At 38.1% G+C, this 13,118-nt stretch overlaps 1 protein-coding gene across 32 annotated transcripts in view; it reads left to right on the top strand.

Annotated features, from left to right (window-relative positions):
- The window catches only part of RBFOX2 (RNA binding fox-1 homolog 2), a 290,089-nt gene that overhangs the window by 60,145 nt on the left and 216,826 nt on the right, over positions 1 to 13,118 (top strand). For 12 of the 32 annotated variants that reach the window (NM_001349995.2, NM_001349994.2, NM_001349990.2 and 9 more), the window contains exon 1: positions 7,050 to 7,117. The exons of the other annotated variants lie outside the window; for them this stretch is intronic. In NM_001349995.2, coding sequence (NP_001336924.1) covers positions 7,076 to 7,117 — 42 coding nt within the window. In that variant the 5' untranslated portion in view covers positions 7,050 to 7,075. Of the gene's footprint in view, positions 1 to 7,049; positions 7,118 to 13,118 lie in introns of those variants that run through there. 32 annotated transcript variants of the gene reach the window in all.

Raw genomic sequence — 13,118 nt, 5'->3', positions numbered from 1 at the left:
AATGAATGCCATGGGAAATTATGGTTCCTGTTGAAGAATTTAATCCTCAGGTCAAACCTTTGTCTGTTGTTTTGCATCAGAGGAGTGACTTTGAACATTTTCCTGATAAAAGAGTTTTAATTCCATAAGCTTCTTTTCTTCTTGTTTACTACCTTAGCTCAAGATCTTCTCTTAAGCTTACTGACAGAGTCTTGCTTTATTTCAGAAAATGTGCTTAAGACCTGGAAGCCCAGTCTGTGAAGCATCTGGTTTACCTTGACCTGTAAAATTATCAGACTGCTTCTTTTCCCTCCCGTTCTGTGTGTTTAAGAGAGGCGCATAATTCTATTTTGAGGCTTATGATAGAATAGGAGAATAAAGCAAACTCGATGACTCTGTTTACTTTAAAAACTTGTTGCTCATCTAAATTGGTTGAATGACTATCCCTTCCCTTAACTAACCCTTTCAACTTTTCATCCTGGATTGACCTTCCCTAAATTTATCTTTCATAAAAAGAGGCCATAGATATATTTGATCTCTAACCCACTGGGACTCTTTTTTAAGTTTGGCTTTTGGCTTTTTTTTTGGTAACCTTTTTCTCTAAGATCAGGAAGAAAGGGATAAGAAATTGTGGACAAGAAAATTGGAAAACACTTAAGAAAAAGTTTCGGGTTGTGTGGGTGTGTGAAAGCATATGTGTATACATATACATGTTTTTCCTTTCCTGCCCCACTGTTCTCTAGCTAGAATGACCTAGATTTTTTTTATTCTGGGAAAAATTGTATTATTTCTGGATTCTGCTGTTTCTTTTAAGTAGTTGGACTGGAAGATGCTGGACTTATAACTTACATTTTTAAGTTCTTTCTTGTACTCTTAAGAAAAGTGGTAAATGGTACGGATTTTAGATGTGTGTACTGGAAACAGTAGCACTAATAAGGAAATGCCTTTGTCCTCCTGTTCTTTGTTGAAATCAGCTTGGATAGCTGAGGATGGTGGAGGGTTATTTATTATTTTTGGGCTCCAATGTCAAAATTCTCAGTTTTATTTAAACACTCAACACAATTGATATTTGAGTGTCATGCAATTATTAGCTAAGGTTAGTATTCACTTAGGTTAGGAAACATCTCTTACCATTTTCATCTCTTGTAGCACCTAACACAGCCCTGGGTGCATACGAGGCACTTGATAAAAGCTTGATGAGTTTAATTTAATGTAATCTTGCTTAATTCATAGATTGAGTTGTTTGACCTATTAGGTGGAAGAAAACATCATTGTCCTTTTTTTTTTTTGGTAGGGTATTTTTTTTTTTTAATTTTTTATTTTGAGACAAGGTCTCGCTCTGTTGCCCAGGCTAGAGTGCGGTGGCACAGCCTCCTGAAGTGCTAGGATTATAGGAAAATTCACATTTTAAATGCTACTTTATGAAAGTTTCTAAAAGAAAACAAAGAAGAATGTTTTCATGATATTCTTTACTTGAACTGGATATAAATGCTGACTATAAAGGAAAAAATGATGATTTGACTACATCAAACTTAGGAATTATCTGTTCATTAAAAGACGCCATTAAGAAAGTAAAGCTAGATGTGGTGGTGCACACCTGTATTCTTAGCTACTTGGGAGGGAGGCTGAGGCAGGAGGATTGCTTTAGACCAGGAGTTAAAGATCAGCCTGGGCAACAACATAGTAAGACCTCATCTCTACAATTTTTTTTTTTTTTAAAGTTGACTGCGCATAATGCCATGTGCCTATTGTTCCAACTACTCCAGAGTCTGAGGAAGGAGGATTGCTTGAGCTTAGGAGTTCAAGGCTGCAGTGAGCTATGATTGCACCACTACACTCCAGCCTGGGCAACAGAGCAAGACCCTGTCTTTTGGAGGGGGAAAAATTATATGTATATAAAAGAAAGTAAAAAGGCAAACTACAAAGTAGGAGAAAGTATTTGTAGTATAGGGATCTGGCTAGTCTCTAGAATATCTAAATAACAACTACAAACCCATATATAAAAGAAGTTCTTTTAATGAATCTTTTGAACAACCCAGTAGCAAAATGGGCAAAATATTTGAGTAGTTACTTCACAAAAGATGATCTCCAAATGTTCCAAAAAATGGTCAGGATCGTTAATCATCAGGCTAAAGCAAATAACCACGATGAGATATTATCACACTACCTCCAGAATGACTAAAATGAAAAAGGCAGACATTACCAAGCATTAGTGAGGACGTTCAGCATCTGGAACCCTCATGTACTGGTGGTAGGAATGTAAATTGGTACAACTTTGGAAAACTGGCAGTTGGTAGTATCTACCAAAGCTCAACGTAAGTGTACCCTATAACCAGTCATTCCACTCCTAGGCATACCCAACCGAAATGTATACATGTGTGCACTGAAAGACATGTGCAAGGATTTTTAGGAATAGCCTCAAGCTGGAAATGGCACAGAGGCCTTTCAACATTACTGAAATATTTTTCAGTAAATTATGATATATTTATAAGATGGAATACACTCAACAGATGGATCAGTTTTACAGATATAATGTGGAGTGAAAGAAGCCAACACAAAAGAATGCATAATGTGCAATTCCATTAATACAAACTTCAAAACAGGCAGAGTGAATTTATGGTGTTAAATAAAGTCATTGTGGGCTGGTGGGAGTGACTTTGCAAAGGCACAGGATGGGCTTCTGTAGTGCTGGTAATGTCCTATTTCTTGGCCTAGGTGTTAGTTACATGGCAGGGGGCGGGGGGATGGTCACTTTGTGAAAATTCATTGAGTTATGCACTTAGGTTTTTTGCCTATTTCTGTATATGTAATCGCTTTGGTAGAAAGTTTACTTTCTTCTACTTGCGTTCTGTGATTGCTACAGCTGATAGATAGCTTTCCCTTCATACACATACTGATCCTTTTCCTGTCGAGCTTGTAGGATGTGAGTGTGCACATACATTTTTGTGTTTATGTGTTGGGGTGTTATGTGGGGATGAAGGTGCTTTTTAAAGTTAATGTAAATTTGCTTGTCAGATATTCAACATGCTGTTTCAAACAGCCACAGGAAAGTAGAATTGATGAATAAGCTTCATTGACCACTTTTTAAACTAATTCTCCAAGAATAAGAAGGACATTTTCATTCTACCTAATAAGGCAGCAGATTTGGATTTTGCTCTGCAGACAAAAGAACCTCTTCATTGAGGGTCTCAGCCACTAACAGCTTCATTTTCAGAAGGATGTACCTCATTTTGGCCATTATTCTTATCATGGAGACTATGAGGAGAACAAATCTCCATAATATTAATTTTTTTCCCCCCTTTTACTCTGTGGAAATCTAACTCAAAGTAAGGCATTTTAGGAAAACCTAATTTGGGTTAGGTAGAAAATCTAAAAGATGTTGCCTTGCCTTCTCTTAGCTGGTCATATCTCTCAATTCTGAACCTGGCCTTAGTAAAATTCTTCAAAGTTCAAGTTTGTTATGTTGTCTTATGACCATCCCTTTGTAAATCTTTGTTCTCCCTCCATGGAATGCTCTTACCTTCCTCATTTACTTAAATGAACTCCTGCTCATTCTCCATGGCATCTTCTAAAAGTAGCCTTTCCTTCTGTGTGCTGTCACCATACCTATATACACCTTGGCTATATTGAATACCACGCATAGCTCTATTTATTTGTTCTTTGGGGCCAGCCTTTTGAGATTATCGACTGGTGTGTGGTAAGTATTCAGTAAGTATTGGAAGAAAGAATGGATGATTGAAAATATTATTTGAAAGACAATAACTATTTTCTAAAGAATAAAATCTGATTATAATATTTGACATCAGTAGATACATTTTTTTTCCAGAAAAGGTGATTGTTTGCCTTAATTTCCGAGTAAAAAAGGATATATGTTTACAACAGGGTGTATGTTGTGGCTGTAGGAGAGAATGATGCTAACTGGTTCACATGGGTAGCAGACACGTGACCTTGGCCTCTTTAGCATGGTCCTCTAATCAGCTGATTTAATTTTAGTGGAATCCCTGAAGAAATGCTCTGGTTCTATATGTGGAATGTAGAAATCATAAATCTAATGTATAGATCCTGACTGCATTAGGGTTTGTGGATTAAAACCAACAAATAGACTGTGTAGGTATTATGACATTATAACTGGGCCAGTGTAGGCATTATGACAGTGATAATTTTTTTCATCTCAAATATTATGAAATTAATTCCAGAATGTTATCTGAAGTTTTGTCATTTCATTTCAGCATGTAATTTCTCAAGCCAATTTTAATTTAAAAAGATCTGAGTAGAATCATTGCCGTTTGTCCAGAAGTTTAGAATAATAGGATTAGAATAATAAATTAATAAGTATTGAGTGCCTACTTAGAGTTTAATACTGTTAGTAATACATAAAAAGTATGACTTTGACCTTGATGTCAAGTGTCCTATATTTTATCGATGGCATAAGAGAACACAGATGTAAAATGATTTCTAGATGTTTTTTTCCAACCCTCACTATCTGAAAATAGGAAGCTAAGTGGAAAAATGCACAGGCTTTGGAATCCAAACAGATCTGGGTTAGAATCCTGGCTTTTTAAAAAAAATGAAATAATGAGTATATAACCATGGTCACCTTGACATCACTGGAACTCTGTTTCTGTGTTTGCAAAGTGGAGTAAGAATGTATACTAGGCAGGGCATAGTGGCTCACACCTGTAATCCCAGCACTTTGGAAGGCCGAGGTGTGGAAATCGACTGAGGTCAGGAGTTCGAGACCAGCCTGGCCAATATGGTGTAACCCCATCTGTACTAAAAATACAAAAATTACCCAGGCCCGGTGGCGCTTGCCTGTAATCCCAGCTACTCAGGAGGCTGAGGCAGGAGAATTGCTTGAATCCGGGAGGCAGAGGTTGCAGTGAGCTGAGATGGCACGACCGCACTCCAGCCTGGGCGACAGAGTGAGACTCCATTGCAAAAACAACAACAACAACAACAAAAAGAATATATACTAGTGTTGGTGTTTTTATTTTTTTGAAATAGCGATGACACATATAAAACTCTTGGAACGTAATAAGTGCTCTTAATGTACGTTTGAGTCAAAGAGTAGATAAATGGAGCTTTGTTTTGCAACTTTCCACTTAGTCTAGGCCATTGCTGATAGATTTCTTCATAATAAGTCAAGTTTAGTAATTGAGTTGATGGGCACTCTCAGAAACTGCTTTAGTCTCCCTCTTGTAGAATAAGGTGACTGTGCTTATTATACTTAATAATTATTAGTGCTTTTAATACTAATTAATTATTAGTGCTTATCATACTTAATACTTAGCCAGTGGAACCATGGTGTCCATAGGAATGCTTTCACACAAGGAATGGCTTGTTAAGGTCAACAAGGAGCGAAATAAGAAAACAAATATCTCAGAGATGGGCTAATCATATTGTCCCCCACCCCGCACTGCAATGTGGGTTTCAGTTGTTAGCATGTGCTTCATCCTTTGCTGTTTTCCACAACAGTTATAAAGCTTTTTCTAGATGCCTGTGTGTTAACTAGAGGCATCTTGACTCTTTTGACTTCTCTAATTGTTCTAAATTGTTTAAGTTTTCTGTGGGGTAGATGACTGTTATTATACTAAATTATTCTTCTTTCCTGTCTTTTTTTTTTTTTTTTTTTTTTTTTTTTGCTGGAGAGTTGGTGCCCTGGAGTTGAGTCTCTGCTTTGCAAACTGAAAATACAATTTTCCTGTGTGTGCCTTATTTTTTTCATTCCTTTTCTCCCTTTCCTACTACAAGGCTCTGACCTGCTTGGAGCCCTTATTACTTGGTCACAATTGATACTTTGTCCTTCAGAGTCACATAGGACATAGCCACTGCGTTGATTCAGTGCTCAGCTATCAAATATGGCTCTGAGAAGGAATTACTTCTCTAGAATGCAAAGTGGGCATCTGAGCCAGAGAATGAAGCCCTGGTCCATATTTAGTCATTATTTAGGGAGAGTGAGGAGTAACAATTTCAAAATTAGAGTTTGGATTAAGCAAAGAAAATACTAGTCACAAATTGGCTGGTGTATGAGGTGAGTAGAGCTGGATTTTTACCAGAAGTAGAAACCTTTGTAGGAACTGCCTGTGGTTCAAGAAGTTATGTATATTTTATGGTATATCTATGATTATGAAAGGATAATTTTCTAAAAGTTTATGTTCTTCCTCTGGGGATTGTTAACATCTGTTAATATCCACAGGAATTTTACTAATAATAATGCCAACTTACTCTTGATTCAGTCCCTTTGACACAGGGACCCAAACTAATTTACATTAATTTTGTCAGTAATTCTTATAATATCCCTGTGTGGGAGCTGCTTTTTAGATGAGGTATGTGAGAATTTGTTAAGTTTACATAGTGGGTCAGTCCCTTGGATGGAAAGTTGGACCCAGGATTTGTGCTTCCAGGCTTAGTGTGTTTGATCACTGAAGTGTGCAGTCTTTTTACCTAATTCTCCTCCCCATTTATTCTTCCTATGATGGAGGAAATCATATCAAGGAAATAGCAGGAGAATTCCATCTTCTAAGAGGTTAAAGACTTTTCTGCCTTGAGGCGTGGAGTTCCCAATCCTTGGCTTAGGATGGAAGGAAACAGCGGAACACTGTGATGTTCAGCTGAAATGACCCAACTGTTTTTTTGCATAGTTTTTTGTTCTCTTTTTAAAAATTCTCCTGTTGGGAGGAGGTGAATGTGAGAATTTTCTCTCTGCCAATCTTATATGTGAGGCAGGTGGCTTGGTTGTTTTTAATGCTCAGCAGATATCACTACTTGCTTTTGGGTTGGGGACCAGAGAGGAGGAGGTGAAGCAGCCACTTTTGGGTGGGGTTGAGAGGAGGGTACAATGTTGGAAGGAGGACATTTCTCTGTGTTTTCTTAGTCATAGGACTCTGAATCCCAAGTAGCTAAATTTAGCTCAGGTTCCTGTTGAAAGCATCGTCTTTTTGGGGCGGGTGGTGTGGGGAGAACGGAAAACCTTTTTGTGTATCCTGCTCCATGAAGCCAATAGGGAAGCAGGAGGAGGTGAGGTTACCATGGAGATGGTAGCTGTGTGCAAGGGGAGAGCAGCAGGGTTTAGAATTCCAGGAAGGAAGAGAGAGTGATGTCATCAGATTCCATGGACCAGCCCAGGAACCCCTGTGAGGTTGGTGGGGAGTTGGGTGTGTGGGGGGTGGTGGAGTGGGAGTTTGTGCAGGGGAATTGTGGCTTCAGTAAGGTGTGGGGAGTCCAGTTCAAGCAGAGAGGTCGGTCGTGTGGAATTGTGCTGAGCTGCATTAATGCCTGATTTAAAAAAAAATCTGGAAACCATTCTGAATTTGCAGAGTATTTTCTTTGTTGAAAGAAGACATTTATTTAACAAAGGAGCTCATCTAGATGTAGCAATGTAATATCTTTTTATAGTTGTATCCCTGAAGTATTTGTGTGTGCCTTTATCCCTTGTATGTGAGGGTATTTGTGTGCATATTTTAGTATATAGTTGCCTTTGTACAATACCTTTTATGGTGCTGCATGCAGTTAAATGCTTCATTAATGCCTGCTGATGGTATTTTTTTTATATGGATGGGTGTATATAAATAAAACACACTTAAAAATAATCTGAAAAGAATATCAAAGCAGTTGCTTTTTCAGCAGAAAGGAAAACTGCATGCTTCAAGACAGTTGTTCTGAACATATGCATGTTTGTGCTGATAGTGAAGGGCAAATGTGTTTCTTTTGGTATGACTAAGAGGCTGCTTTTTTTTTTTAAACAAATATAACAGAACCTGTGCATCCAAATGAATATTGCCCTTCAAAATAGTCACCTTGGTTGGTGATACAACCATTGCGCAAAACCTGAGGAACTCTCATTCGGAATCGGCTTTAGAGATGAGTGATGAGGAAAACGTTTTCAATACCTAACACTGAATTTTTTTATTTAAAAAAATACCTACCTAGGTTTTTGAAAGACACTAGGTTTCTTCGAATTGGCTCTTCGTGATTTTGTGGTGTTGTCAAAAAGTCAAATCTGTGCTCAAATGGTGAGCTTTTACCCCATTTGAAGATACTTAAAGTCATGGGTTTAGGCTCTGAAGGCATTTTCATTTTCAGATCAAGGGCTCTTTAAATGTTTAGTTTAGCAGTGGCCGTGTTTTGAATGATGGTAGCATCTGAGGAATAAGAACATAGCCTTCCCAGGGCGACATCTTCTGAGGTGACCCATTTGGATTTATTTGTTCAAGTGTGTCTGTTAAAATCAGTGACATTACCATTGGGTAATGTGGGAAGCAGCTTTAGATGGTGTGTCTGAGGGCACAGACTCTTTGAAATCGGGTTGGTTCAAGTCTGAACCCCTGTTCTGCAGTTCACTCACTGACCTTGGACAAGTTAGTCTCTTGGTGCGTTGGCTTCCTCATGTGTAAAATGGGAATGATAGTGCTGTGAGTACCAACCTCACAGTGTGGTTTGAGGACTAAGTAAGCTAATATATAAAGCTCTTAGACATTTGGTGTGTTCTCAGTCAGTGCTTGCTGTGATTATTGTCGGTAATAATTATATATTTCTTTGAATTACAGAATTCTGAGGTAGAATGTGCCTGGAGATAGTATAGCTCAGTAGTCCCTGTTCTGTACAGTTGGCGTATTGTATCTGTGGGGTCCACATCTGTGCATTCAACCAACCACGGATTGAAAATAATTCAGAAAAAAAATAACAATGCAACAATAAAAATAATACAAATAAAAATACTAAATAACTACGTAGCATTTACACTGTATTAGGTATTATAAGTGATCTGGAGATGATTTAAAATCTCTGGGAGGATATACATAGGTTATATGTAAATACTGTGCTATTATACATCAGGGACTTGAGCATCTGTGGATTTTGGTGTCTGAGAGGGGTCCTCAAAACAGTCCCCCATGGACATCAAGGGATGACTGTATTGAAGTCAACCTGGACCTCATTCCAGACACTACTGAATCAAGGAGGGAAATCTGTAGTTTTTAGATTATTCCCAGGTGATTCAAATGATCGGTCAAGATTGGGAACTATTGAGTATAATCTGTTTACAGTATGGCCCCAGCACTAGAAGCTTCATTTCCTGGTAGATGCAGAAATCTCAGACGCCACTGTAGACCTACTGAATCAGAATCTACATTTTAACAAGATACCTAGTGACCTGTCTGCATGCTAACATTTGAGAAGCACTGCTTTTCTTCTACCAATGGGAATAATTGGGTGATAACCGCAGGTTAAAGATGAATTATCTCTCCATTTTTCCCATTGCTGGAAGGGAAACAGTGTGGCTAAACCAGTGTATAGATAATCATACACTTACCTTCCCTATTTCTTGGCCTAGGGGTAAATGCTTTTCTGGACTAAACTGCTGCGTAACATGTAACAGAAAGAACAGTTATAATTATGGCTCTGGCTCTACTGTTTACTAGCTATTTGGCCTGGATCCAGTCACTTAATCTCTCTGAGTCTGACTCTCCTCACCTGATAATGGAAATAATACCCAGAAATAATGTATATCAATTATCTAGCGCATTGCAGTGCCTGCATATGTCACTGGCTTTTCCTTTTCCCTTGCCTTCAACCTTTCATTGATAAATCTGTAGTGTAGTTCTAGTCCCTTAGAAAGGGCCACCAGTGGAGTCTCAGTACCATCTCATCTCTGTGGGCTCTTCTTGCCCTTCTCCCAGCTATCTTGAGTATTTAATTGTACTTGCAGAAAACTAAGCTTTACACAATATATATATATATATAGTTTTCTCTATCTGTTTCTGCAAAATGCCTTTTACTTAATGGAGACTATTATCTAAGAGGGCTAGAAGATGAAGAACTAAAGGATTTGAGTAATTGAGTTGATACAGGAATCAAAGTATAACGAGATATGACAGGCAGCTCTTTTATGAATTCTTAATAGTTGACCATTTGTTTAAAAAAATGTAATTCCTGGTTTTTAAAACTTGGCATCAAGAAAAAAAATCCTCGGTAGGTTTGAAGTTGTTTGAAGTCTTTTAGATTGGTTCCAAGCAAGAATTAACGTGGTAATTATCAGAAGATCACTGAATTGGTAAGTAATGAGCATTATCTTCTTTCTGACCAGGGAATTAATACAATAAAAGGAAGTTCAGGGACTTGCTCTGAGGACACTAGTAGTAGGTGGCAGAGAGTCTAGGTCAGAGAGTTGGCAGTTGTAGCCAGTAGGGCATTGGAAGCAACAGCAGCAGGAGGAAATAGAAAAGTCCAGTTTTACCCAGATCTTAATGGACTTAGGGATAGGCAGGATTGTGAACTCAAAGCATATAATAAAAATTGTTACAATAATAGTTTTTCTCTATGGGGTAGGTATACTTTCAGGTGCTTTGTATACCTTGTGCCTAAACTTAACATCCTTGCAAGGTGTAGACATGATCACATATATTTTATAGACCAGAAAATAAAATTGAGGCCCAGAAAGGTGAGTAACTTGTCCTAAGTTGTTCCTCTAATAAACACCAGAGCTGGTTTAACATCATGTTCAATAGCAATGTGAGTGAAGAGACTGTTATAAAACTCAATTGAAATAATGTCTATCAATTAAAATAAAATTTATTATTTTGTCTATAATGACTTTTTTTGGGGTAGAATTGTTAATTTAAATTTAGACTGTGATAGTCAACTCAGCCTGTCTTAAAGGGACTTTTTTGAATGTTGCAGAATGATCCTTTGAAATGTATTTCTTTTATACTCTGAGGCTAATTAAGAGGTATCTTTTGTTTTTTTAAATGCCAAAGCTTGTGAAGTCTTCAGTTTAGTGAAACACCAGTTTAAATTGAAATATCACAACACAAACTGATTTGTTGGTGGTTATCAATTGGCATATTTAGTCATAATGAGTATTCACATAATTGTGTCTGTTAGTCTGTTATTCCATTCAGATCCAGATGTAGATAATTATCAATGATTGCACAGAGTGAATCATGTATTTAGACAGATTTCTAAGTTACGGTTGGAAGAACTACAAATGAGAGGACTTGGGTTCCAGGCCTGTTTTTGTGACCTTGGACATGTCACTTGAAACTCAAGGGAATGAACCTGAGTTTCCATTATCAATCAAAAGAGAATAATGTTATCTATCTAACAGAATTGTTATGAGTAGGAGGATGTGCTTGACACCAATTTCTGCTTCTTAGACTAGCTCTGTAACCTTGAGAAAGACATTTAAAACCTTGTGGTACATTGGTTTTCTTATCTGTAAGGTCAGTCTGTGCTATGTGAATATGGTTGCAAGGTAAGGAGGGTGCAAGTAAAGTAGCTGAATTAGAATTAGATGATCCCTATGGGTCCCCTCATAATCTGTGGTCCTGTACTAGTCAGAACTGCCTGTGTGTTGGTATGTGGTGAAGTGTTACATACAACTAAGATACTGTTTCTTCTTATTATTATTGTTAACAGGGCCACCCCATTAAGGAACAGGCACTGTGTAAGATATTGCATGTATTACCTCAATCCTTGTAACAATCCTATGAGGTAGGTAGTATTCTCATTTAAAGATGGAAGAATTTGAGGCTGAGAGATGAATTAGCTTTCCACAGCCATAGAGCTAGTTGGTTACCAGAGACGTAGATCAGTGTGATTCTAATAACTGTACTTTCCCCCATACCTCACTACACATGCTACTGTGACAGGCCAAAACTAGGACATGGGCTTATTATGCCACAAACTGCCTGTACCAAAGAATGTAATGACGACTGAGTAGTTATGTTCTTCACCACCAAACACTTAACAGTTAAAGAAGGGGAGAAAGACAGTTTCACTTCAGTGTTCCTGCTGAAGTAGTAAAAATTATTACTATTACTAATTCTCCATCCTCGGTTATGAATCTTTTAAATAATCTCTTTGGCAAAATGGGTAATACAAATAAAGCACTTCTGCTGCATACTAAGTATGACAGTTATCTAAAGGAAAACTGCTTCTGTGATTGAGTTGCCAGCTGAACTTTTTTCATGGGATGCCATTTTTATTTGAAAGAACAACTGATAGACTATGGTATTCGGACGTTTTATTAAAAATGAATGAGGTGGCCAGGCGCAGTGGCTCACACCTGTAATCCCAGCACTTTGGGAGGCTGAGGCGGGGGATCATGAGGTCAGGAGATCGAGACCATCCTGGCCAACATGGTGAAACCCCGTCTCTACTAAAAATACAAAAATTAGCCGGGTGTGCTGGCATGTGCCTGTAGTCCCAGCTACCTGGGAGGCTGAGGTGGGAAAATTGCTTGAACCCAGGAGGTGGAGGTTGCTGTGAGCTGAGATTGTACCATTGCACTCCAGGCTGGGCAACAGAGCAGGACCCTGTCTTAATTAAAAAAAAAAAAATGAAGCAAGCCTGTCATTTTAAGGAAAACTGATATTTGTGGCCAGTGATAAAATTTGAACTTTCAAGCAAAAACTAGAGTTTTGGAAAACTTGTATCCTGGCCTATGAGCTTGACAGCTCTGAACCTTAAAAGACTTTTCAGATGAGATTGGTGGTGATATTAGTGAATGTGAATTTTTTGATGTTATATAATGAGATGTGTCAACAGTTGGAAGATCTTTATAACTTAGTGAACTTGTATTTTATAAATGAACAACACATAATGTTACAAAATCATGCATAGGCAAAAAAAATCTATTCCAAGTACAAGATCAATGAATTTTTATATTAACAGTATGAAAAAATTCATTGATAAGGTTTCACATGCCACATTGCAACTAACCTTTGGTACAGTATTAAAGAAGAATATCTAGAGATAGGCGAAAAGGCTATTAAAATACCTTGCCTCTTCCAGATACATATCCATGGAATGCCAAATTTCTTTCTTATACTTCAGAATAATATTGAAACAGATTGAATGCAGAAGCAGGTATGAGAATCCAGCCATCCTCCATTCCATCTCCAATCCCCAGGCCACAGTCTGGTACTGGCTTGTGGCCTGTTAGGAACCAGGCCACACGGCAGGAGGTGAGCAGCAAGCACTACTGCCTGAGCACCACATCCTATCAGATCAGTGGCGGCATTAGATTCTCATAAGAGTGCATACCCTACTGTGAACTGCGCGTGCGAGGGATCTAGGTTGCCTGTTCCATCGAATGCCTGATGACTTGAGGTGGAACAGTTTCATCTTGAAACTATCCC

This window comes from Homo sapiens, chromosome 22 (genome assembly GCF_000001405.40).
Source record: "Homo sapiens chromosome 22, GRCh38.p14 Primary Assembly".
In the NCBI taxonomy this organism is placed as follows: Eukaryota; Metazoa; Chordata; class Mammalia; order Primates; family Hominidae; genus Homo; species Homo sapiens.
This window is presented reverse-complemented; position numbering and strand designations above follow the sequence as displayed.